The sequence below is a fragment of the Homo sapiens genome, chromosome 8, assembly GCF_000001405.40.
Source record: "Homo sapiens chromosome 8, GRCh38.p14 Primary Assembly".
Classification (NCBI taxonomy): domain Eukaryota; kingdom Metazoa; phylum Chordata; class Mammalia; order Primates; family Hominidae; genus Homo; species Homo sapiens.
Window position 1 is genome coordinate 128,542,638 of NC_000008.11, and position 24,728 is coordinate 128,567,365.

Here is a 24,728-nt window from a genome sequence, read left to right on the forward strand (position 1 = left end):
AGCATAAGGCAGATGAGCTTGGGATGCCAACTATGGCACTTACTAGTTGCATGGCTTTCAGCAAAAAACAATTCTTTGTGAACCTTAGTTTCTTTGAAAGAAATTGGAATTATTTGTACTTTAGAAGTGCTGGATTAAATAAGATGTTTATAAAGGGTTTAGCACATGCCTGGCTTAAAGAAAGTGGTCAATAAATGCTAACTTTTAATATGCTTATGTATTAATATATCTTATTTTAATCCTGTGAGTATCCTCCGAAGTAGTTATTATCACTCTTATTTTATGCATGAGCAGATTGAGCCTAGAAGAATTGGAACTAAGTTGACGATGGTAACAAAACTAATAAGTAGAAGTGGGGTCAATAAACCTATGCTTATCTAGCTACAATGCTGAATTGTCTTCAATTAAATCACAGTAACTTCCACACTGGGAAAAACTTGGTTTTCCAGCAACTGGAAAGCAGCATAATATAGTTCTTACATATATGAGACAATATTGTCTTTGCAGTATTGTGAAAATTAAGTGACATAGTAAAAATAAAACACTTTGCATACTGGGCATATAATATTCACTTTGTATTACATTTTCTCTAGTATTTCCATTGCTGGCACAGAGCCTAGTACAGAGATAGTGTTCAGTAAATGCTTGTTAAATAATTGATGGCATATGTTTTGCATTTGGGGAGCATCACAGAAAATGTCTACTTCCACCTTACGGTTGTGAGTGAATGTTTGTCCTGTCTCTTTCCAATCTGTTCTCAAGGCTACATGTCACCAGTTTCCTCACCTTCCTCCCAGCTGTTTTTCATGTCTTTAGACAGAGGTCACATGGAGTGGCTGCCGGGGTCATTGTGGGAAAAACCCAAAGGAGAAAGTCACAGGCCTGTTCCAAGTCCTGACTCCTCCCACCCCCTGGTCACCAAACCTCATTTTCATTTCCCAAATGAGGCACACTTTATAAGATACTACTCTGATTTTCCCCTCTCTTTTAAGAAGAGACAACTTTAAAGATTTAAACCGAAAGATTTAACCTGGGTGAGGCCACGGCGTGGAAACATTTGATGAGCAGGTAACACCTAGAATGCAACCTAAGCACCGTGCATATGCAATGGGAAGTGGGTTTTCAGATCTCCTCAGAAGAGCTGCCTCCTTCAAAGTCTTTGGTCTTAATAAGATATTAACCTGCTTTTACTCTTCAGCTTCATTTCTCTAGCCTGAGACCTGTTAACCCAAATTACTCTTTTTCTTCCAATAAAAGAAAAAGTTGACATTGTGATTACATATCAGTAGCATGACAAATTACATCAGGGGTAACAATATTCCCAAAGGAGAGTGGGAGGTTATTATTTCTGTAATTCTAGCACACTTGCAAGAAGTGCAAGACAAGCAAGAAAGTATCAAAGAGTAGTCGCTCAATAACTGGGTGGAGGGAAGCCAGGGAATGCTACCTGGATCCCAAGGCCAGGCAACTTGTCCTCGGTGCTTTCTAGGGCTTGGATACCAGTGGAGGCTGACATGCCTTTGGTTGTAGAATGAAATCACACTTCTCCATATTGAGAAAAAATCTGCTTTGCAGAATCTGGGATGCATAGCTCTCCGTGTGTGAATTGTTAAGACTCTTTTATTTATTCGTCTACCCATTTAACAAATTTCCTGATAATACAAATTAGCATTTATTGAAGATTTTTCTTTCCGTTTCTGTTTATTGTTTTGTTTTGCTACATATTAGACATTGTGCCAATTTTGTTCATGAATTTGTTGTTTCATTTGCGTAACACTTCTAAGAGGTAGGTATTAGTATCACCATTTTTAGATAAGAAAATTGGAATGCAGAATGTTTATTACTTAATAATACTCCTAATTGTGTGAGAGTAAGAACTTAGCAATATTTGTGTTTGTTACCTAACTTTTAAAAAAGGTAACATTCAGGCCCATAAGGAACTCACAGTCTCCTGAGTGATATAGATAAGTGGATGGATAGATGATAAATAGATAGATAGATAGATAGATAGATAGATAGATAGATAGATGTACCTTCAGATTTAACATTTAATAACATAAAAATGAAGTATAGCAGTATAGCCTCACACAAAATTCATATAAATGTGGTTAAAATAAGCATTTTAAAAGAAACAAAGGCAAGCTCTAAAAAAAGATACATTTCAAAATACCCAAAATTGAGAAGAAATTTAAATTGGTCACAGTAGGAAGTATCTGAGTTGGCATTGTGGAAACTTGTTAATGAATACTAGGCACAGACATAGGCTTTCATGATTGACAGCTGAGATTTAAATGTTTCTATGGGATCAAGAAGATGAAAGCTAGAGCCTGAGTACAGTGCAGAGGTGAAACATGTTCTTGCAGATACAAGATCTTATAAGGAGTTCCACTTACATTAGAAGGATACTGGAAAAACTCTAAACACTGATGTTCAGAAACAACAAAAGATTTTTCTCTCCCCAGGTCCTTGGATGGAAAAGAAATGTCTCTCAAGAGAAATCAAAACACAAGGCTATACCACTTGAGTTTAAGGGCCTAAATTTACAGTTCCCATAGGTATAGAAATTCTAAACAGAATTACTGATATAAAAACTAGTTTCGACCCATGAAACAACTGGGTATCACTATGTAAGAAAATATGAAATGCTAAATAATTGATGGCATATGTTTTGCATTTTGGGAGCATCACAGAAAATGTCTACTTCTATCATATGGTTATGAGTGAATGGTTATCATGTCTCTTTCCAAACTGTTCTCAAGGCTACATGTCACCAGTTCCCTCACCTTCCTCCCAGCTGTTCCTCTCAGCCTGTGTGATCCTAATGGTGAAAGAAACAATCTCCACTGAAGATGAGCTCACAATCACAAATTATAAACCATTTAAGGAAATGATGCTCCATGAGGGCAAGCCAGCAGACACAACTCACTGGGGTGATAGTACATCAATAATTCAGTATACTAGAACAATCAGAGAGGGGCTATAAAGAGTATTTAAATATATTAAAGATAAACATAAATGGATTATAACTAAAAGGAAAAAAATGTACTGTGAGCAAAAACACAGATGCACATTATAAAGAGAAAATAAAAGAGAATTTCTAAAGATGAAAAATGTCTAGCTGTGGCAGCAGGGGGAAACTCAATGGAAGGGTTACACAACACATAGTTATAAAAGAATAAAGAATTAGTGAAAATAGATCTAAAGAGATTAAAAGAACTTGGCTCAGCAAAAATAAAGATAGAAAAGATAAAAGAAAAGCTAAGACATATGGAGAATAGAATAAGTTTGTTCAATATGTATTTAGCAGGTTATCAAAGAGAGAGAGAGAGTAGAGAGAGTGGGGGAAAAGTAGCATTTAAAAAAATTATGCCTTAGAAGTTCCTCAACTTGAAGATATATATGAGCCTTCAGAATAAAGAAACATACTGAATTCTGTGGAAGATAAAGCAAACACAAACCTCAGTTAGCTATACCATGGAGAAGTAAGAATGCTACACACAGAGAGATTATTGTAAAAGTAAGCATAGAGTAAAGAGAGCAACGATTAGACTGACAGTAGCAATGGACACTGGAAACCAGTGAAATAATGCTTGCAAAGTGCTTAAAAGATGAACAAGAAGAATTCAAGTAGCAATTATGTGCCAATAAATTGGGAAGTCTGTAGATAAATCTAAATAAGGCTTACTGTATAAAACAGCAAAATAATTACTAAAGTGTTGCAAAAAAAATGGAACTAGAATACTAATTACCAACACCATGAAAGATAAAAGTGGATGATAGGTGTGAAAGTGTGGTAAAATGTTATTTTTTTGCCTTGGGGAATAGGTATATCCCCTGTGAACTTTGACATTGCTAAATCAAGATTAGGTGTGATGTTAAGAATAATTCTAAAGAACAGAATGTAGAAGTTATAGCTTTTAGATCATTAGAGCATGAGGAAAGGGGAAGAAATAAAGACAATCTGACCAATGTGAAAGAAGACAGGGAAGGAGGGAAAGAAAAGCACAAACAAAGAATGAAAGTTAGAAAGCACAAAATAATGTTAATAGATGTAGAACCCAGAATTAGACTCATTTAGAAGCAAAGACTTAGTACATTAAAAAAACATCAGGAATAAATAAAGCTGCCAATAAATAGGACTAGAAAAATTGACTATGCAAATTGTAGTAAATAAGTAAATAAATAAGGTCCTTACTTCACATTATTCACAAAAATAAATTCCAGGTGAATGAAGAAACTAGAGGTGAATAATAAAACAACCTTAAAACTTTTAAACAAATATATAGAAGGTTATTTTTACTGCCTTTGGCAAGAAAATAAGTTTTTAGATAGGGCACAAAAAGACGACATCATAAAGTAAAGGATTAATATCTTTGAATACCTTGAAATTCAAAGCATCTGTATGACAAATGCACTAATATCAAAGCAGAAAGACACAGACCAATAAAAATTATTTGCAAAAAAAAAAAAAAAAAAATAGAGAAAAAAACCAAGTGTGTAAAATAAATATGGTGGGGGAAAACCTAATTTTAGAATAGTCAAATTATTTAAACTGGCAATTTATGACAAAGGAGACAAAAATAGCCCACATACAGTAAGATTCCATTTCACATCTTTAAGAATTAGCATTAATAAGGTTCAAAAGATACCAAGTGTTAATGAGAATGTAAAGAAATGACAACCTTCATTTGCTGTTGGTGGGGGTTAAGATTGAAACACAATTTTTATGGCAATTTTGCAATAAGTTTAAATATGAAGAAATGTGCATGATTCCTATACACGACTCCTCTCTCAGGAAGACCATATAATTTAGGTAAGTTAACCTCATCCCTGGGTCTAGAGGTGAGGCATGTGGCTCAGTACTTACCTACTCAACATACATTCTTCTGTCTACCCGTACAGTAGCTACAGTACTTATGGGGGTGGGGAGTGCTAATTAGGCAAAAGCCAGGACTTTTATTTGATACACCCCTCCTTGCTGTTGGTGAACCAGGAAGCATGCATCCTTGGCAGCCAATAACAATAATTTCGAGACCAGTAGAGAAGGAGCTTGCCAAAATGGAGTAAATGCAGAACAATTAGAGCTGAGAAATGGAGAGAAAGCTATTCTAGGTCCTACCTTGAGTTATAAGATGAAGCTTCTCCTAAAATCAATTATCCCTGGACTATGCAATCACATGAATTAAACAAAAACAAAAACGAGCTTTGTCTTATGCTGCTGAAGTCATTTTAGGTTTTGTGTTGTATTGTGTTCTGTAGCTATACCCAGTAGCATCCTAAAATGAGTAGGATTGAACTGGCATAAGGGAAAGGAAAGATCACCTCAGGCAAGTAAGAAAGACAAATATCGTTTTATGGATATATTGTGCTTTGCTTTGAGTGTGTTCTCTCATTGTACCCTAGACTTCACAAGCATATTCTTTTTTACGCCTAATTATTACTGTTCCTTTCTTTTCGGGGTCATACACATCTTGCTTACCATTGTATCTACAGAGCCCAGCCCAGTGCCAGGAACATCATAGGTACTGGATAAATATTTGCTGGATCGATGTTAAGTGAAAATAATGCAGGGCTGGTAGGCAGAATCAAAACCAACAGTTAGCAGGATCCATACTGGGGAAAAACTGGCTGGGCATCACAGTCATTCCATGCACCAAGTGGCAGATTTGGGGGACTAGCCAGTGCAAAGTACCAGGAGAAGAGACACAGCTTAACAACATGATAAGAAACAGTAAGTTTGAGAATTCATTGACACATTCATTTATTCAAGAGGAAATGGGGATTCATACTTACATATGTATAGTTTACTTACTATGTGCCTGGAACTATTCTAAAGACTTTTTTTTTTTTCTTTTTCTTTATTTCTTTCTTTTTTCTTTTTTTTCTTTTCTTTTTTCTTTTTTTTCTTTTCTTTTTTTTTTTTTTTTTGAGACAGAGTCTTGCCCTGTCGCCTAGGCTGGAGTGCAGTGGCGTGACCTCGGCTCACTGCAAACTCCACCTCCTGGGTTCAAGTGATTCTCATGCCTCAGCCTCCCAAGTAGCTGGGACTACAGGTGTGCACCACCACACCTGGCTAATTTTCATATTTTTAGTAGAGACAGGGTTTTGCCATGTTGGCCAGGCTGGTCTTGAACTCCTGACCTCAAGTCATCCACCTGCCTCGGCCACTCAAAGTTCTGGGATTACAGGAATGAGCCACTGCGCCCAGCCAAGACTTGACTATTACCTCATTTAATTCTAATGATATCCATCCAGGTAATGTGATAGAGTCTAGCACTTAGGTGGTCAATTTACTGAGTGGTGGTTGTGGGATGAATGGATAAATCCAAAGTCTGTTCTTTTTACTGATCAAGTACTTCCCATAAACACTGACTGGGTGCTCCTTAAGAGCCAACAAAGTGGAAAGTGATTGAGGAAACAATGAGAATAATCCTGGGAGTTGATGCCTGGATTCATCTGGATTACCTTCCTCATAGTCTAATGTGCAGGATGCTTTGAAAGCCCCACCCAATACTCCTTACTAAGCTTAAATCATGGAGAGAATGATAAATATGTCCTATGTAGACACAAGGAATCTTTGACTAACACAGAATGAAGATTTTGGAAGATGATAGTAATAGACACCAGGAGAGCAGATAATGGGGTCAATTAAAATAATGGTAACTACTAACATTGATTTAAAAGGGTGAGGGGACTAGTTATAGCTTAGCAAGGAGGCTGTTTACATAATCAGATACTTGAGAATCTACTCTGGGTCTTGGCAACAGGACTAAGAAGTAACAAATACAGCCTCAAGAGATTCTATGAAAGGAATGTACTGGAGTTAGTGGCATTGCCACAGGCAATAGAACTTAAAGGATAGGAATGTGAATGGTAGAGTTGAACTTCAATGTGATTACCCCATCTCAACCACTTAGTCTTTAAGCTTGTTTCCCATCTGTAAAATGGGAATAATAATGAGGCTAATCTCATAGAGTTAGAGCGTGAAGAGCATTGTCTGGAATAGGATAAGTTTTTGATAAATTGTATCTGATGTCATTGTCCGTGTCTCTAAGAAAGAGCATGTATCAACAAGGATGAAACAATATAAACATAATTCGAGAAAACATGGCAAAAAGAAGAATTTGGGAGATGTAGATTTTGTCAGAAGAGGATCTACTTGCCGTTGGGTGTGATGAGTTTATATTTAGCACTTGTCTGCACTTACTATGTGCTTAGCTTTGGGTCAAGCTCAGAGATACTTAAAGGGAACTAACAGCATGCGATTTGCGGAGTCCTATAGGTCTGAGAAGCAATTGTGCATACAGGCTAATGGTTTTGGCTTTGGAGTCAGACTGTATAGTTTTGAAATCCTGTTCTTCCACTTAGTAGCATTTTATTTTTCTCTGTAACCCTCAGCTTTCTTTTCTAAAACAAAAGTGAGGGGTGGGGAAACAAATCCCTAGGATTTATGAGAGATTTAAAAGATCAAATGAGGCCGGGCACAGTGGCTCACGCCTGTAATCCCAACACTTTGGGGGGCCAAGGTGGGTGGATCACCTGAGGTAGGTAGTTTGAGACCAGCCTGACCAACACGGAGAAACCCTGTCTCTAATAAACATACAAAATTAGCCGGGTGTGGTGGTGCATGCCTGTAATCCCAGCTACTCAGGAAGGCTGAGGCAGGAGAATCACTTGAACTGGGAGGCGGAGGTTGCAGTGAGCCAAGATGGCGCCATTGCACTCCAGCCTGCCTGCAACAAGAGAGAAACTCCGCCTCAAAAATAAATAAATAAAAGATAAAATGAGAAAAGTACTTACCATTAATATCTGATATGTACCAAGACATTTGTAGGAGTAATAATAATGATAGTGTGAATATAGGTAACAGTAGTCATTGTAATAATGTTAACATCTGAATTACTGCCTATGGTCAGGTGACAGGCTCAGAATAATAATGTGCATTTTGCAGATGTTAATACAAAGATCAGAATGGAGCCATCGTCAAGGGCAGAGTTTTCCATAGGGAGATGGGTAGAGGGAAAACAACTGGGATCAGAAAGAAGGGGAAAAAGAAAAAGAGGATGGGCTGGCAGAAAGACAGGAATAGTTAATGTCTGAGAACTGAGGAAAGGTGATGATTCTAGAACAGGGAGCCAATAACATCTAATATCCAAGAGGTCAAAGAAATTGAGACCTCAGGCAAGATATGAGTGAGTTTTAAAAGGACAATTTAAAACTTACCATGATAAGGGCAGGAATGACCATAGATGGTTTCAGCAGGAAATGTGTTGATAGGAAAATTAAATTCATTGATACCTAAAAGTGCCACACAGGTAGGAGGACTATCAGGATGACAGGCAATGTGGCTTCACCCATGCATGAGACCTACTTGGCGTGACATCTCTGCTGGGCCACCTGCTCTGTGACCATGGGAGAGTGCTCCCCTTTCTTTCTCTCCCTTGCAGTTGTGTGCCCAGGGGGCTGAGTTATATCCAATGGGATGTGAGCTGAGTGATATGCAGCACTTTTAGGCCTGACCCAGAACATTCCATGAACAATTTTCCCTCTCTTTCTCTATTGCCAGCTGAATGGGAGGATAGAAACTTTCGTTCTATTAGTCCACTAATTTTTAAAGTCCTTTGTCACAGTGGTCAATTTACCCTGACTGGTGTAGTTAATAACTACTCTGAACCTCTGCTTCTCAGGCTAACAATAGCTACTTAGCTGATGGTTGTTCTTTCCGTTTTTGCCTGCTAATAGAATCTTAACGGTGATGAGTTAATTGGCATTCTTTTGCTTTACGAGAGTCTGTGTCCCTCCTCAGCGTTATCCATGGAATGGTGTGTGTGTGTGTGTGTGTGTGCGCGTGCACGTGTGTGTGTGCATGTGTGTGTGTGCATGTACGTGCACATGTGGGCATGTACTGGCCAATTTAAGCCAAGGGCAGCAGTTTTCCTCCCTTGCCTGTGAATATCTTAATAATGGACATGGGGTCAGTGATACATGGAGGGAAGTTCTCTAGTGGGCTTTTAGCAAATTTTCCTTGTTCTTGTTCTTAAAAAGGGGCTCGAAAACAGATTTTCATTTCCCATTTTAAATTTTGCATATTATTATGATGCCTGGAGCTACAGTAGCCACCTTGTTCATTGAGAGGAAACATCTGAAGGCAAAAGCCGACAGGCTGAAGAGGCGAGAATCCCAAGGTGTGGAGCCAATCCTGAAAGCATCCTACCATCACAAGTGTTTTAAGTGAGATAATAATATTGTCTTTTATTTATACCATTCTCAGTTGGTTCTTGTGTTCCTTATATCAAAAATACCCTGACCGATATTTTGGTTAGAATTACATCAATTAAAACATAAGAATCGAAAGCCATGTGGTAAGTGATCAAGTATGATATCATCAAAATAACCACCACAATCACCGTCAAAGCATGGACCTCCTGTCTCCCAACCTAGTGCCTCAGACCTTATTGCTTCCTGGGTCTCAACAGAAAAATAAAGTCTGTGACACAATATTTTCCAAGGGGTGGGAAAACAGCCTAGAAACACAACCAAAGAATTCTTTTTAGAACTTTTAGTTCTTTTGGAAACTGAGGTTGTGGAGGAGATTTCGTTATTGGTGGCATTGGGATGTATCGTTTAGATAATGAGATATTTGTTGGGTAAAGTGAAACCTTGGGATAACAGGTGCCCTATACAAATAAGGGTACTATTAGCTAGATAATATTTAACGAACACTCCCTCCTTATCACAAGCAATTCAAGACAATAGAATAGAATATTACAGTCGATGGTGGGGGAAACATAGAATCCTTACATTATTCCTACCAAATGATAAATACGGAAAGATGCAGAGCCCCTTGTCATCCTGCTTCCTGCCTTCATTCAGGTTATTCAGAAAGATGAGTGCAGCTTGAAGAAAGATAAGGCCAATGTAAGACAATCTGTACTGTGTTCATACTCCTAGAGCCCAATAAAGCAAATCAAATCAAATATATGTGATGAAGACCTAGATGAAATGAGAAGCTATTTTCATGCCATTGAATGAGGGTAAGATGATAAAAGATAATAATAGCATTGAGGAGAAGAAAGTGAAGCAGAAGGAGAAAGAACAGAGATGTTTCTTTGCTGTTTTCCTCTTTATTAATGTCTCTCACATGTCATTTTCTTGTAACATTCGATGCCCAAACAAATCAGCAAGGTAGCCTCCACTATCCATATTTAACAGATGAGGAAATTGACACTCAATGAAGTTCATTGACTTATCTGAGACCACAGCCAGATCTCTGAGTCCAAACAGCATATTGCTTTTTGCTCAACAACTTTGCTTTTCATTTTATTCTCTCTGGGATGAGAATCCTGAGTGACCTGCATTAGTCTTTTCTCACACTGCCAATAAAGACATACCTGAGACTGGGTGATTTATAATGAAAAAGAGGTTTAATGGACTCACAGTTCCACGTGACTGGGAGGCCTCACAAGCATGCTGGAAGGCAAAAGGCCCATCTTACATGGCAGCAGGCAAGAGAGAATGAGAACCAAGCAAAAAGGTTTTCCCCTATAAAACCATCAGATCTTGTGAGACTTTTTCACTACCACTAAAACAGTATGGGGGAAACTGCCCCTATGATTCAGTTATCTCCCACCAGTTTCCTTCCACAACACGTGGGAATTATGGGAGTTACAATTCAAGATGAGATGTGGGCGGAGACACAGCCAAACCACATCATGGCCTGATCTTCGGACTCAGAAATGACAGTCATCTTACCCTCCGAGGAGCTGGCTGCAACTCAGGAAGGTGCATCCATGAAGAGGCATGTTGGGTGAAGTAAGAAAACACCTTGCTTGGAAGGGAAGATCCCTGACTCAGGATTCTGATTTAACACTGTCTACACTTTGTAATCTGAGTGAAGTGACTAAACCTCTCTCAGCTTGTGTTTCTTTGAGTTTAAAAAGCAAAGAGCCTTCGTGACATTGTGTTTCTGATTATTTATTGTTTCTTCTGTTTTACCTCAGAAGACTGGTTGACCCTTGTTTAAAAACAAAACAAAAAGAAACTAACATAGGAAAGGGGCCTCCTGGCCCCTTGCTATTTATGCTTGTCCAATATAAGTGTTTTCCTAAAGTGCGTAAAGTACTTGTGAATGCCATTTTTTAGATATATGCTGTCAGTTCTAATTGCACAGAGCAGAACATTTTAGCCATGAGAGCTTCTCTGTGTCACAAACCTAGCATCCTGTAAAAGCAGGCCTACAAATGCTTTCACAAATCAACTCATTTCAGAATCAGGTCATTGGATGGTTGGATATATGGTTGGAACCACTTGGTTCCAAACTCTCCTGGCTCTATTCTTTTTTTGTGTGTGTGGAAAACAGATCTGCCAGGATTCTTCTGTATGCCTCAGACTAGAAACCCATCTAGACATCACACACATCTCTTAAGCTGATTTTAATTTCATTCTGTTGTGTGGTCCCAGCTTGCTGGATAGAAGTTCTTCCAGAACTATGTAGCCCAACACACTCTAGGTTAATGCAGAGCCTCCTCCCCACCCCGCTCCTGAAATGGTGCTTCTCCTGGGCTCTGGGCAGTAGCCATCCATTCACATGACAACCCACTTTTGTTTTGCAGGCACATAGGTTTTTCATTTATTCTGTAGAACAATCATGCATGTCAGACAAGGATTGACAGCTCCATTTTATGGGTAGAGAAACTGACTCAGAGAGCTTAGATAACCTGCCAAAGCTGATGGTGATACTCAGAGGTTAACCTAATCAGAAAGTAATTAACCTCCTTCTACTCTAATACATCTCTACAAATAATCCCAATTCACTTTCATCCTTGATGAAAATCTGATTTCTATGAAGCTTTGACTAAAACTTCTTTAACTTTACTTCATTTCATGATCCATTCCATTTATATGCCTCGGTTTCCTCATCTAATAAAAAAGCAAAAAGTAATTAGGCTGAGTTACCTATGCTTGGTCTGTTGAAGTAGTTTGAATTTTTCTGAATCAGGATGAATGCAAATTGCCTCATTATTTCACTAATTAATAATGTCTGCTTGGAAATGCAACTATCAGTGCACAATAAATGATAAAGCTTATAATTATAGATGAGAGCAATTGCTTCTTTTTTTGTTCTTACCTTCATTTCAGTTTATCTTCCTGAGCTATAGCTACCTCTGTAAGGGTTAGGAAAACATTTAAAATATCTAAACAGTGATTCCTTTCTCAAGCGTTCGGAAATTGATGAATCATCTTACTCTGCAGCATTCAAAGTAACTGTGTGCTTGACACATAGGAGGAAAAGTGGGCTCTTTGAAATGTGAGCAGAGCACCGATCGTGTCACCTGCCCGGCGCGTGACCTGTTCACTTTCCACCTGACCCTCTGTGCCCAATGTCACCTGGAGCCTGAAACCTGGAAGGGAAAAGTCCTTGACTGGAGTCAGTGGAGAGAAAATCATCACCTGCTTGGGCACAAACATGCCTGGTGACTGCGTCACTGTCTGTTAAGTGGGATCAGCTAATAGTTGCACAGCGGGCCTTCAAAGCATCACGGCAGAACTGATGAAGTTCCTGTAATGCATTCCCTGTGTGAAGGCCTTGGACTTTAGAGCTCAAGTGCGCCAGGAGCATTTTGAGCTTGCCGACAGGCTCTCCCATGGATTCTATTTGGTTATACGGCAGTGGAAAAGAATTGACTTTCATTTTCGTCACTCTCTGCCTGAGTCTCTCGACTGCAGCCACACTTCTGTTTCCCGTATATTGCATAGGCTATTCCCTCTACCTGGGACACCCTCCCCTCTGGATTGCAGCAAGATTTGCTTCTATGTTTCACTCAGTTATCTACTTACAAATCACCTCCTTAGGGACCTTGCAGGCTGCTCTCTTTCTCCTTACCTGGCTTCATTTTCCTTCACAGCACCTGATACTATTACACATATTTACTTAGTTAGTAGTCCATGCTTTTTCTTCCCCACTGGACCATAAGTTCTCTGAAGGCAAGAGCCACATTTGTGTTTTTCCACTGATCTGTCCTCAGTGTCTACAATAGTACTCAACCCACAATATAACCTTGAGAAACATTTCTTAAAGAAGTGAATAAATGAACGAGTGAAGGAGTGATTTTTTTCTCATTTTACAAATGAAACAAGTCAAAAACAAAGAGGGGAAGTAAGCTAGTCCAGCTCTACAACCATTTAGTGGCACAGCTAGTATTAACATTTTGATTTCCTAACTCACAATCTAGGATTTTATTTTCGTTTTATTCCATACAACACTGTTCTCCAGAAATTTGGCAACTCAGACGGCACTTGACTTTTCACAAACACATTTCTTGCTGTCTTTAACCTGTTCATGTCAATGAGAATGACTATAACCTCATGAGAGACAAGTGTTTACTAGTTAAGTTCTTACTGAAGTGATTGGTCTTAGAACTCCCTTTCAAGGGCAAAGACGATTGAAAATTAGTTATACAATTACATTTTTAAAACATTTTTGAGTATAATGATTTTAAGCATTTGTTGTATAAAGGTGGATATGCATAAAGAACAGGTAAAAATAATAATCATTATAATCATATATAGAAGTCGTCTTGGTACATTTTAAACATATTTAACAATTGGAATCCTGCTGTATGCCGAGTTTTCTATCTCTGTTTATACACATTATATTTTAAACATTTTTCTAATGTCACTAAAACTAACATTGTTTTAGGGATAGTATTTCAATATATAAGTGTGTCACAATTTCACAGTTTTAGTTGATCATTTTCCTCTTATTTATCATTAAGATTGTTTCCACTTTTTATTTATTGGGTTTCTAGGTTTTAGTCCTTCATATTTCTGGGTTCAGTTATTCTATAAACATTTTCAAAACTATGCAGAAAATAAATTGTCCAAGTTTGTACTTAAAGTGCTACAAATAATCTAAAAAAAAAATCAGGGTTTCAAGCTCAAAGCTTCTCTTCAAATCAATAACTGTTGAAGATTTCACTTATTTGCATTTTTAGTCTTTGAGGTTTAGAGTGGAGGGTGGGGATCCGGGGGCAGTGGGACAGGAAACATTGACCAATTTGAGAACAAATAGAGGCTTGGAAAATTTGTTTACATTCTGTTCTATGTGTGATTCTGGCCTTTGTAACAAGGAGGATAAAAAGCCAGAACTCACTTTGGTGGCGCCTGCAGACCTCTGCACTGTAATGACACGAGTGCAAGCTGCACTGGGTGCAAGTCAGCATGACTCAGCCACCCTCCCCACGGGGTGAGAGGAAGCAGTGGTGGAAGGCCAGCACTTGTTCCTACCTCCGCATGTACAGTGGTGAAGAGAAGGCTCACAAAGGGTTTCTCAATCTGAGAAGGAACCCTGTATTCAGAGTGCAGCTTAACCCAATGGGATATTCCAGCTATAATTCTAATAAGGGTGATGGTCCCACTACATACCTAGCATATTTATGAATCTCAAATTGATGCCACCTCTTGTACCTTGCACAAGTAATAATCACTGCCATTGATCTGGCACCTCCTACGTGACAGCTTACTAACCTAGGCACTTTCAGCTGGTCAACTAATTTAATTCTCAAAACAAGTTTGCCAGGCAAGTATTATTGGCTGCATTTTCCAGATAAAGACATTGAAGTTTCTAATGAACTTCAGGTAAAGTTTATTCCAGATAAACTTCACTGAGGTTCATGCTGTCCAAAGTCACACAGCGCTGGGATTTAATACTGGTCTATTTGTCTTCAAAGCCTATGCATTACTGCACACCTATGAGGTTCTGCAGAGAAAAGGTTCCTCCTTCTGCTCAGTACCTGCAATTCTAGGGACAGTTGTCATGGAAAAAACTGTATTAGAATAATCTATTGATCAATAATCTCATTGACTAGCTATTTAATGAGCACTTACTTTGTGCCAGGCTCTCTACTAGTTTCCACTGACAGAGTTGAATAGAACACATTTCTGATCATAAAACGGGAGGAGGGCGAGATTCGAAGGGCAGGATTGTGAGATACATAAGCCTCCACTCTCAGGACATAGAATACTCTATTCACCACAGGGATTAGCTCGTCACAGAAACTCAATAATATTTGTGGAAGAAGACAAAGATCAAAGGATGGGTGATAAATTATAAGGCGCTTAAAACTTAGTCTAAATACTTGGAATCTATTCTCAGGTTTATTCTGTATTCACTGTGCAACTTTTGGAAGTTTTGTGTAGCCCCCTAAGCCTGCCTCCTTACTTTTAAAAGTGGAGATAAACATCTTTGTCTGATTTCACTCATTGGATCACTGTGGATCCAGGGGATCAGGGGATCAACTATGGGTATCAGAGCTACTAAAAAGGTAAACATCAGTTTCCAAGTATCAGGAACTATAATATTTGTTGGCCAAATCAACCAATCAATATTTATTGCATACCACATGCCAAGTATAGGACTAAGGACTTCACAAACGCTCTACATTTGTGCCTTCAACAACAACACTTGATTAATGAATGTCTCCATTTTATAGATGAGAAAACTGAGGTTCACACTGTTTAGATAGCATGCTGGAGATGACACAGCTGGTGAGGGGAGAAGCAGGAATCAGATTCTCATTGCCTGATGCTGATGTCCCAGCTCTTATAACTGTGCTTTCACCCCAGCAGCTGCATGTGACAGTCATCCTACTAGAAATATTTCTGCAGGAATTATATGCCTGTTCTTAATTTTCCCCTACTAACTTAGAATCAGTCACGGGATTCCTCAAAAGTTAAAAATAGAGCCACCATATGATCCAGCAACCCCACTACTGGGTGTACATTACAAAGGAAATGAAATCGGTATGTCCAAAGAGATGCCTGCACGTTCACGTTCACTGTAGCATTACAGTAGCCAAGATGTGAAATCAACCTAAGTGTCCATCAACGAATGAATAAATTTTAAAAATTGTGGTATATATACAAAATGGAATACTCTTCAGCCATAAACAAGAAGGAAATCCTGCTATTTGCAGCAACATGGATGGAACTGGAGGACATTTTGTTAAGTGAAATAAGCCAAGCATAGAAAGACAAACATTGCATAACGTCAGTTATATGTAGAATCTAAAGAAGTTAAATTCGTAGAAGTTGCATAGAATGGTGGTTACTGGGGACTGGGGAAGTGTGGGTGGGGGAAAGTTAGAAAGATGTTGGTCAAAGGACACAAATTTTCAGTTAGGAGGTATACATTCAAAAGGCCATTGTACAATATGATGACTATTGTTAGTAACAACATATGTATCTTTAAAAAATACGAACAGAGTAGAGTTTAAGCATTCTCACCACTAAAAATAAAAACTAAGTAATGTCAATTAGCTCAACTTACTTATTCCAAAATGTAGATATATTTAAAATATTATGCTGTGCATAATAAATATATACAATTTTGTCATTTAAACAAAAAGTAATAATTTTTATTTTCCTAAAATAAAAAACAATCAGCTACAGGAAGTCAATTCACTTTCTGAAAATTCCAAGCTGCACTGCTTTCAGAACCCGGAAGTCTTTTTTTTTTTTTTTTGAGACGGAGTCTCGCTCTGTCGCCCAGGCTGGAGTGCAGTGGCGGGATCTCGGCTCACTGCAAGCTCCGCCTCCCGGGTTCACGCCATTCTCCTGCCTCAGCCTCCCAAGTAGCTGGGACTACAGGCGCCCGCCACTACGCCCGGCTAATTTTTTGTATTTTTAGTAGAGACGGGGTTTCGCCGTTTTAGCCGGGATGGTCTCGATCTCCTGACCTCGTGATCCGCCCGCCTCGGCCTCCCAAAGTGCTGGGATTACAGGCGTGAGCCACCGCGCCCGGCCAGAACCCGGAAGTCTTGTGTTACCCTTAGGTCTTCAGCTTCTGACTCCTTTTATTTCTGAATCCAAGACCATCTTGTTCCAACACTGTCCATACCCCTTCATATGTGCTGGGGGGTGAGAGGAGAAGGGTCCATGCCTACCAAGTATGAAATGAAAATAAGACCCTCCACCCAGACCCTCAGATGCTCTGAGCAAATCCTGAGATTTGCTATAGAAGCAGCTTCCTGTTGATGCTTCATGCCAAACACCTTTTTGACCCACATCCTTTCATCTTTTTTTTTTTTTTTTTTTTTTTGAGATGGACTTTCCCTCTGTCTCCAGGCTTGAGTGCAGTGGCGCGATCTTGGCTCACTGCAAGCTCTGCCTCCTGGGTTCAAGAGATTCCCCTGCCTCAGCCTCCGGAGTAGCTGGAACTATAGGCACGCACCACCATGCCCGGCTAATTTTTTGTATTTTAGTAGAGATGCGGTTTCACCTTGTTGGCCAGGATGGTCTCTATCTCCTGACCCCGTGATCCGCCCACCTCGGCCTCCCAAAGTGCTGGGATTACAAGCGTGAGCCACCGCGCCCAGCCAGCCTTTCATCTTTGACCTTTGAAATTCCCTCTTGACTGATTCCACTACTCCCGTGTCCGTGTTACAGCTCTTCCTTTATGGTGCTACCTGAGTGGCCTTTGTTGAATACAACTGAGCTTTGTCTTCCCTGCGGCCTCTTTAGTACAAGAGAGAGGCATGGTGTTCACTAATTTCATCTCCATCTCCAGCTCTCAAACCCACCCTTGCCCCCAGCAAATCCTTACATGCCCTATTCATAGAAGGCTTTTGAAGCCTGTTGCTGGTCTTTGAATTCTCCATGGTCTTTTCTGGATCTCTTTGTGCTTCTTGATATCTAGACCTGGACTCAATTTCTGTTTTCCATTTTGCTTGGTAAACTGCTAGTCCTTCAAGAGCAAGCTCAGATATTGTTGTGTTTGGGTCATTCCAGGGAGCACCACCTCGCTTCCTCCTCTGTGCTGTTGTGGTTGTTGGAATCTAAGTCAGTTGTGACACATCTTATTTTTCTGTCACCATTTGTATTTGTGCTTATTTCTTCTGCTGGGTCATGTACTCTGTAAGAACAGAGATGGTGTCACACTCATGTTTACATGCTGTACCTAGCATGGTGCCTGGTACATAGTAGGTACTCCGTAAATGCCTGCCAACTTGAATTGAATCAAGAGCCACAGAGATAAAGAGTAGCTGGCAATGACTGTGTAAAACCTAAGAAAGATTCTGAATTGTCTCCAGCAATTATTAAAGAGTAAAAAGTGATTTTAAAAAAGATCTTATGTTGGGTTTTAAAAGATAAATTTGGAAGGTATTAGAACACTCAAAGCAATGACCACTTTTTGTGCAAGTGAAAAATTTTTAGTTTTAGTCTTTCCCAGGACTTTGTGAGAAACCAGATTCTAATTATGTATTTAATCAACCTCTATTCCCAATGGTTTCTTATGATGACTTTCTGTTTAAAGGGTTTACAACACTGGATTGTCCAGAAGCCATAACTGAAGCTGGCTTAGTTAAATTGATTTCCTGATTCCCTAGGTTTACCATTAGAATTGTATTTCTTCATCAGGCTTCCTTCTCTCACCTCTTCAGCTCTGCCACCTCCAGGCCTTACCATCTTCTTGGTTTCTGGTGATGCCATCTACAAGAGAGGAAAGGGAAAGTGAAGAGGGAATGGGAAAGGAAGGAAAAGAGGAAGAGTTGTGATACTTCGGAATTACTTTTTGAAAATCACAACAAACCCATTTCTATTGTTGGTATCAGTTGTATTTCAATTGCCTTGGTACTTACTGCTGAATTGCCTTTGAAAAGACTTTTTAGCAATCTACACTTTGAAGATTAATAAGAATGGCTATGTGACTACACTCTTGCCAACACTAGATAGTCCCATTTTATTTAAAAAAACTAAAAATTGTATTTAAAGTCGTATTTATTTGATTACTCAGGTTATTTTGCCATATATTTCTTAACCAATTGTTTTTCCAATTTTATGAATGTCCATTCAAAGAATTAGATAGGTTTTTAGTACTATATTTAGACCATTGTCTTTGGGGATTTAAAACTACAGAATTTCTCAAAATGTACCAGAGTTTCACTGTAATACAATTGAGTAAAATTATTACTTTCAGCTTTAAAATAGAGTGAGTTTCTTTAATAAATATTTGCCCTTTCAGAATAGAAATAGTCATTTTTCTCATATGTTAGGTACATAAACATAATGAAACATGGTTCCTCAACTCCAGGAGCTCACAATTTCATAGGAAGAAACATCAGAAAAATCAATTACAGCATATTATGATAGGTGCTTGGATAGAGTGAACACATTGTGCTGTGGAGCCTAGAGAAAGTTCATCTTAGTAAAATATGTAGCAATAAGAAAGGATAAGGCTCAAAATAAGTGCTATAGCCTGAAGGTTTGGGTCCCCACCAAAATGCATATGTCGAAAGTTAATCCCCAGCATAAGAGTTTTGGGATGTGGGACTTTTGGGAAGTGATTAGTTAGTGTGGGACTTTAGGGAAATACCCTCATAAAAGAGATTAATGCTCTGGAAAGGAGACCCCCAAGAGATCCCTCACCCCTTCCACCATGTGAAGGAACAGGAAAACGATGGCCATCTATGAAAGAGGAAATGGGGCCCTCACCAGACAGTGAATCTGCTGGCACCTTGATCTTGGACCTCCCAGCCTCCGGAACTATAAGAATAAATTTCTGTTTATAAGCTACCCAATCTGTAATATTTTGTTACAGCAGCCGAAATAGACTAAGATAATAAAGCAGTACTATGGTAATTTGGAGTGAAGGGAGAAAGCAAGAAAATTGTGAGGTAGGATTTAGGACTTGGGAGTGAAGATTGAACATGTGTGTTGACTTCCAGTTATAGGAACTCTTCTTTCTCCCTAATTTATCTTGTCTATTTCTTCCCAGTGGATGTGGCAGGTAAGAATTGTTGTTGGGACTTCATTCCTTTCTGTTCTCATCTCTGTTGAAATAGGAGATTTGAGGGTCATAGAAACACATGAAAGACAATCCATAAGATGTGATTGTTATTAGCAAAATATTTTTAAAAAGAGTTTGAGTGTCAGTCAGGAGGACCAGAGACAAATTGAAATTTCTGTCTTGGGCCTTGGATTTAAGAAGCCTCAAAATGAAATGGGAGTAAGTGAAAAGGGCATTCTGAGTGAATCTGGACTCTTAAGGAGAAAAGTAAAGGAAGGTAGAACTGGGGAAATCCATTGAAAGATGACAGCACTGAGTAAGGGAAATGATTAAAATGTTTCCATTATTCCCTGGAATTTGATCATTTTTCTCTTCAGTTACCAGCAGACAGAGTCTTGCTCTATCACCAGGCTGGAGTGCAGTGGCACGATCTCGGCCCACTGCAACCTCCACCTCTGGGGCTCAAGAAATTCTTGTGCCTCAGCCTCCCAAGTAGCTCAGCATCTGAGTAGGGATTATAGGCTAAACACCACGCCCAGCTAATTTTTGTATTTTTAGTGGAGATGGGATTTCACCATGTTGGCCAGGATGGTCTCGATCTCTTGACCTTGTGCTATGTTCACCTCGGCCTCCCAAACTGTTGGGATTACAATGTCTTTCTGTATGTCCCTCCAGCTATTCTTTTGACTAGATTACACACATACTTAAACAAAAAATTAATTAATTTCAATTGCAATGATTGCTACAAAGTAGAAATGTAAGGTGACTTGAACTTCCTAATCTAATCATGGAAATCAAGGAAGGCTTCCCAGGAGAAGTGAAACCTGAAAGACAGATAACTATGAGTTATATACAGCAGAGTTCCTCAGCCTTGGCACTGACACTTGGGACTGGATAATTCTTTATTGTGGGGATTAGTTCTGTGCACTGCAGTACGTTTAAAGAGCAGCATCCCTGGCTTTTACTTACTGGATACCAGTGGCACTTTTGCCCAATTGTGGCAAACAAAAATGCCTCCAGACATTTTCAAATGTCCCCTGAGGAGAACAGCTAATCTAGAGGGATGGGGCGAAGTGCAGCATTCTCAGCAGAGGAAACCACATGTGCAACTCTAAGGCAGGGAACGTGAATCTGAAGAACTGAACAAGGCTACAGTGTCTAGATCATGAAGCCTCAGTGGGCTAGTGGTACTAGGTGACATAAATAAGGTAGGGTTAGATAGATCATGCACAACCTCATGCATGTGAAGATTTGGGAAGAATGAGATGAGTAATGTATACAGCATCCTTGAATTGTGAAAGATCCATACTTAACAACGTACCTATTTGGATTGTTCCCCCTCTAAAATCCATTTACCTGGTCATTGTGATGGACTCAAGCTGTCTGCAAACCTTGAACATAATTTGCATTTTGGGTCACACAGTCCCTATAGAATTTGTAGGTTTTGCTGGCTTTTAATTTTATTGCCTATGACATTTAACTTTCAAGCTCCACTAAAGAGCTTAAAAAACAAAACAAAAAACTTCTATTTACAATCTGTTAACCTTTTCAGCTATAATCTTTTTTTTTTTTTTAACCTTTCCTTCCACACGCCCCACAACACATATTGAATCTGATGCAATGACTTACCCGTTACTCCTTCTTGGAGTCTTTGTGTCATCACAAAGCCTCTCAAGCCAATGTCTTACTCCTTAGCTGGCTTCCTTTTCCATAAGTTTGCTGCTCATTTCCCCACAGACACAGATGGACATTTCAAAGATTTTACTGTGATTTGTTTTCTAGAATTAATCTCATCATGAACTTACTGTGCTCTGTGATGGCCAATGTAGTAGCATCGTGGAAAAATGGCCCTGTGTAGAAAGGATAATTCTTCTTCGTGGTTGCAGTGGATCTGTCTTCGAGAGATCGTGCCAATTAAATTAACACGTTTATAGCTCTTCATCTTTTAAATTCCACATCATTCTGCTTTTCATGCCTTCACTTTATCTCAACTCTTGACTCTACTTAGTCTTTCCAGGAAAATCTTCTAAAACTCAAGTCTAAATTTCATTAGGGTGAAGTTTCTCTCTTATTCTTCTCTGTGCCTATAGATCTGGGATTGCTTCCTGTTAACTAAATTTGTTACGGTGGAGTCTACCTTCTTCTGTTTACCTGGGCCATAACTGTTTTGCCACAGTTGAAGTAAGCTGAGCTTTTAAATAGTGTTCTGATAGGGCTGATGGGGATCAGATTTTGGAGTAATGTTAGGGCATGTACAATAGGCAGTAGAAAACTGAAATAAACACAGTGACTCCTGCACTGGCCATGTGACAGGAAGTGGTATACCTCATCGCTACTTACCTGCCATTGGCCACAACAAGTTGCATGGTCTATCCTAACTTAGAGGGTGCAGGGAATTGCAATGCTACATTTTACCCAGATATTGGTGAGTGAAAACATCAGCTATAGTTTTAGTACCTACCATGATTAGCAGAAGCAGAGAATCCCCGCCCTTATGGCTCACATTGTCCATTGGGACAGCCATGGATCAAAGTACAGAGTGATGATCATGAGGAATGTTTTCAAAACAGGAGTGTATGGTGCCCATGAGCACATAAAATAAGCAGACTTGACCATTGAAAACTGAAAGGTAATATGGATTAACTAACTGAGGATGGAAATAAGAATTAACTAAGTGAGGATGAATGCAACCCGGGCAGCAGAAATAGCATGTGCAAAGGCCCTGGGGTTGGAGAGAATCTGGCATATTCTAGTAGGGGAAAGGCTGCTATGACTGGAGGGTGGAAAGTGAAAGGAAGGCTTATGGAAGATAATGCCAGAAATGTAAGCTATGACTTTATTATAAACCCTTAAAATGTCTGAGGCTTGAGAGTGGTGGTTTTGTTTTGTGAAGTCAAAGAGAAAAATTTCAACCAAATGGAAAGGATGGAAGGAATGTATTGAGCACTGAATCAAGGGGTCAGATGTTAGCTGGAGAGATAAGGTAAGATAAGCCCAGGAAGATCACAGCAATGACCCTTTGTGCAAATGCTTCCTTTAAACCAGAGCTGTGACTGAAAGGAAACATACCATTTAGATGGTAAAGAGGCAACATTGTTGGGTGCTTACCAGAGAAGTCTTAGTTTTTTTCACCCACAGTGATGAAGAAGGGAAGTAGCATCACCTAAGGTGTTTTGTGCATATCTCCTGAATGTCCCACTTAATCCCGCAAGAGGTTTAAAGTTCAGAAAAATTATTACACAAGTTACAAGGGTAGATCATGGTGAAGCTGAGATTCTAGTATGTTTTGCAGTGGGCAGGCATATGCACATCTTCTTCCCAAGGCCCAGGGGGCTGAGAGGTTGAAGAAAGAGGCTGACATATCCAGTTTCCTTGAAAGAAACATTTAATAAAGACCTACAAACAAAAAGCCGAGGGATAAGATGTTGGATCCCCATCCAGTTACCCCCAGACCCAGGGCTTATATACCATAGAGAATTTGCTTAAGGGCAGAGTTTATGATAAGTACGCATTTACAATAACATCAAAGTTGTTTCGACTTAAGGGCTGGATTTACAGTAAGTATGTGAAAGTAGAAATCTTAGAGGCATTCCCAGAACTGGAGTTGATCAGAAGTCAACATGGTGGATTAGCATCCAAGATGAAGTTGCTTTAGCCTCCACACAATATAAAACTCTTAAATGGGTACCATATTGCACCTTGGAAAAAAGGAGGGTTGTTGGTGTAGATGATCTTCAAGGTCTAGCTATGCCTTTTTGAAAGCTTCATACTTTTCAGAGAAGGATCTGGGCCCCCAAACTGCATGATTTCTTCTCTTCATTTGTGTACTTCACTAAAGCTCTGTCACCCTTCTTTATGCTGAATTTTCACCAATGAAATTTGAAGATAATTTTTCTGAACAGGACTTTTAAAATCCACAGTGTAGCATACATCATCAAAATCAAGAATTTGGCCTACTGTGTGTGTGCATGTGTGTGTTGATGGTTTTATTCCTCTTGTCTTTGATCTCAAAAAGCTTAAGCTTTACTGATAACACAGTTGGTTAACATATATTTAGTATGTTACATGTATTATATACTATAGTTTCCAAAGCACATTACCTAAATTGCTAACCTATCTTGTAATTTGCTTACTACCATTCAGATTTTAGAAGCTGGCTCATTGACTGTGCCCACCCAATCAGCAAAAGGCTAGAATATAGCTGCTTCTCCAGTAAATAAATGGGAAAAGGAAGATTTGTGTTTATCTTTGCAAGTCTCCACTGTAAATCATAATGTCAAGGCGATTTCATGTGTCTAAGCAAAAAGATGACAACATGGCATTTTGAGCAATTTTCTTCTTTCTTCTGAGCATGCATATGGAGTTTAATTCACTAATGTATTTGTCAGAGAATGATTAAAAGCATTGATTAGTTTCCCAGAGAAGATTTTAAGTTTTCATTATAGATTTTTATTAACTTATTCTGTATTAGATATGGGCTAAAAGACCTTTCATGTAATGTCTTTAGAAACACTGGAGTTTACCAATTTATTTTAGCAGCCATTCTATGTGATAAAACTGGTACATACATTTATTTGTACAGTGTAATAGTTAAACCACAGGCTTCAGAGTCAAGTTGCCTTGGTTTAGTTCTTGACTGTGCCATTTAACGATTATTTTAAAATTAATCAAATTATCCAAACTTTCTGAGCCTCAGTTTTCTCATTTGTAAAATGGAGGTAATAATAATACATATTTCATAGTGTTTTTGCAATGCTTGCATGAAGTAATACACAGGTAGTTTTGCTAATAAGGCTAGATATTGTTGTTATGTGTAACACACACAAACTCGCACACACACACTCAAATAAACAAGCATGAAGGAGTATGTACCAGGAGGCTACTTATGAAGTCATTGCTCTATCCAGGACGCATGCAGGAAACCGGGTGTCAACCAAGGAAA

The 24,728-nt window shown here is 39.0% G+C and overlaps 1 long non-coding RNA gene across 2 annotated transcripts in view, besides 4 other annotated features; it reads right to left on the reverse strand.

Moving 5' to 3' along the window:
• The window catches only part of LINC00824 (long intergenic non-protein coding RNA 824), a 159,411-nt gene extending 137,369 nt beyond the window's left edge, over positions 1–22,042 (reverse strand). The window contains exons 1-4 of one of the 2 annotated variants that reach the window (NR_121673.1): positions 21,592–22,042; positions 18,433–18,489; positions 17,603–17,911; positions 16,391–16,939 (exon numbers count right to left, since the gene is read on the reverse strand). This is a non-coding gene — a long non-coding RNA (long intergenic non-protein coding RNA 824). Of the gene's footprint in view, positions 1–16,390; positions 16,940–17,602; positions 17,912–18,432; positions 18,490–21,591 lie in introns of those variants that run through there. The other variant, NR_121672.1, reaches the window with a different exon arrangement.
• Positions 11,902–13,101: an enhancer, noted in NCBI's record as "P300/CBP strongly-dependent group 1 enhancer chr8:129566785-129567984 (GRCh37/hg19 assembly coordinates)". NCBI's record gives its function as "activates an origin of replication core promoter dependent on BRD2, BRD4, P300/CBP, MED14 and CDK7 cofactors, with strong dependence on P300/CBP, by STARR-seq in HCT116 cells {active_cell/tissue: HCT116}" and the evidence as "EXISTENCE:reporter gene assay evidence [ECO:0000049][PMID:35650434]".
• Positions 12,546–12,840: an enhancer, noted in NCBI's record as "tiled region #4031; HepG2 Activating non-DNase unmatched - State 5:Enh". NCBI's record gives its function as "activates a minimal TATA promoter and a strong SV40 promoter by Sharpr-MPRA in HepG2 cells {active_cell/tissue: HepG2}" and the evidence as "EXISTENCE:reporter gene assay evidence [ECO:0000049][PMID:27701403]".
• Positions 14,154–14,298: an enhancer, noted in NCBI's record as "145 bp enhancer 33 fragment used in the MPRA reporter construct; PK_construct_3118". NCBI's record gives its function as "activates an SV40 promoter by MPRA in HepG2 and K562 cells {active_cell/tissue: HepG2 | K562}" and the evidence as "EXISTENCE:reporter gene assay evidence [ECO:0000049][PMID:23512712]".
• Positions 14,221–14,231: a transcriptional cis regulatory region, noted in NCBI's record as "NFE2L2 motif; enhancer activity is reduced when this motif is scrambled". NCBI's record gives its function as "necessary for full MPRA enhancer 33 activity {active_cell/tissue: HepG2 | K562}" and the evidence as "EXISTENCE:site-directed mutagenesis evidence [ECO:0005528][PMID:23512712]".
• Positions 22,043–24,728: the final 2,686 nt, after the last annotated feature.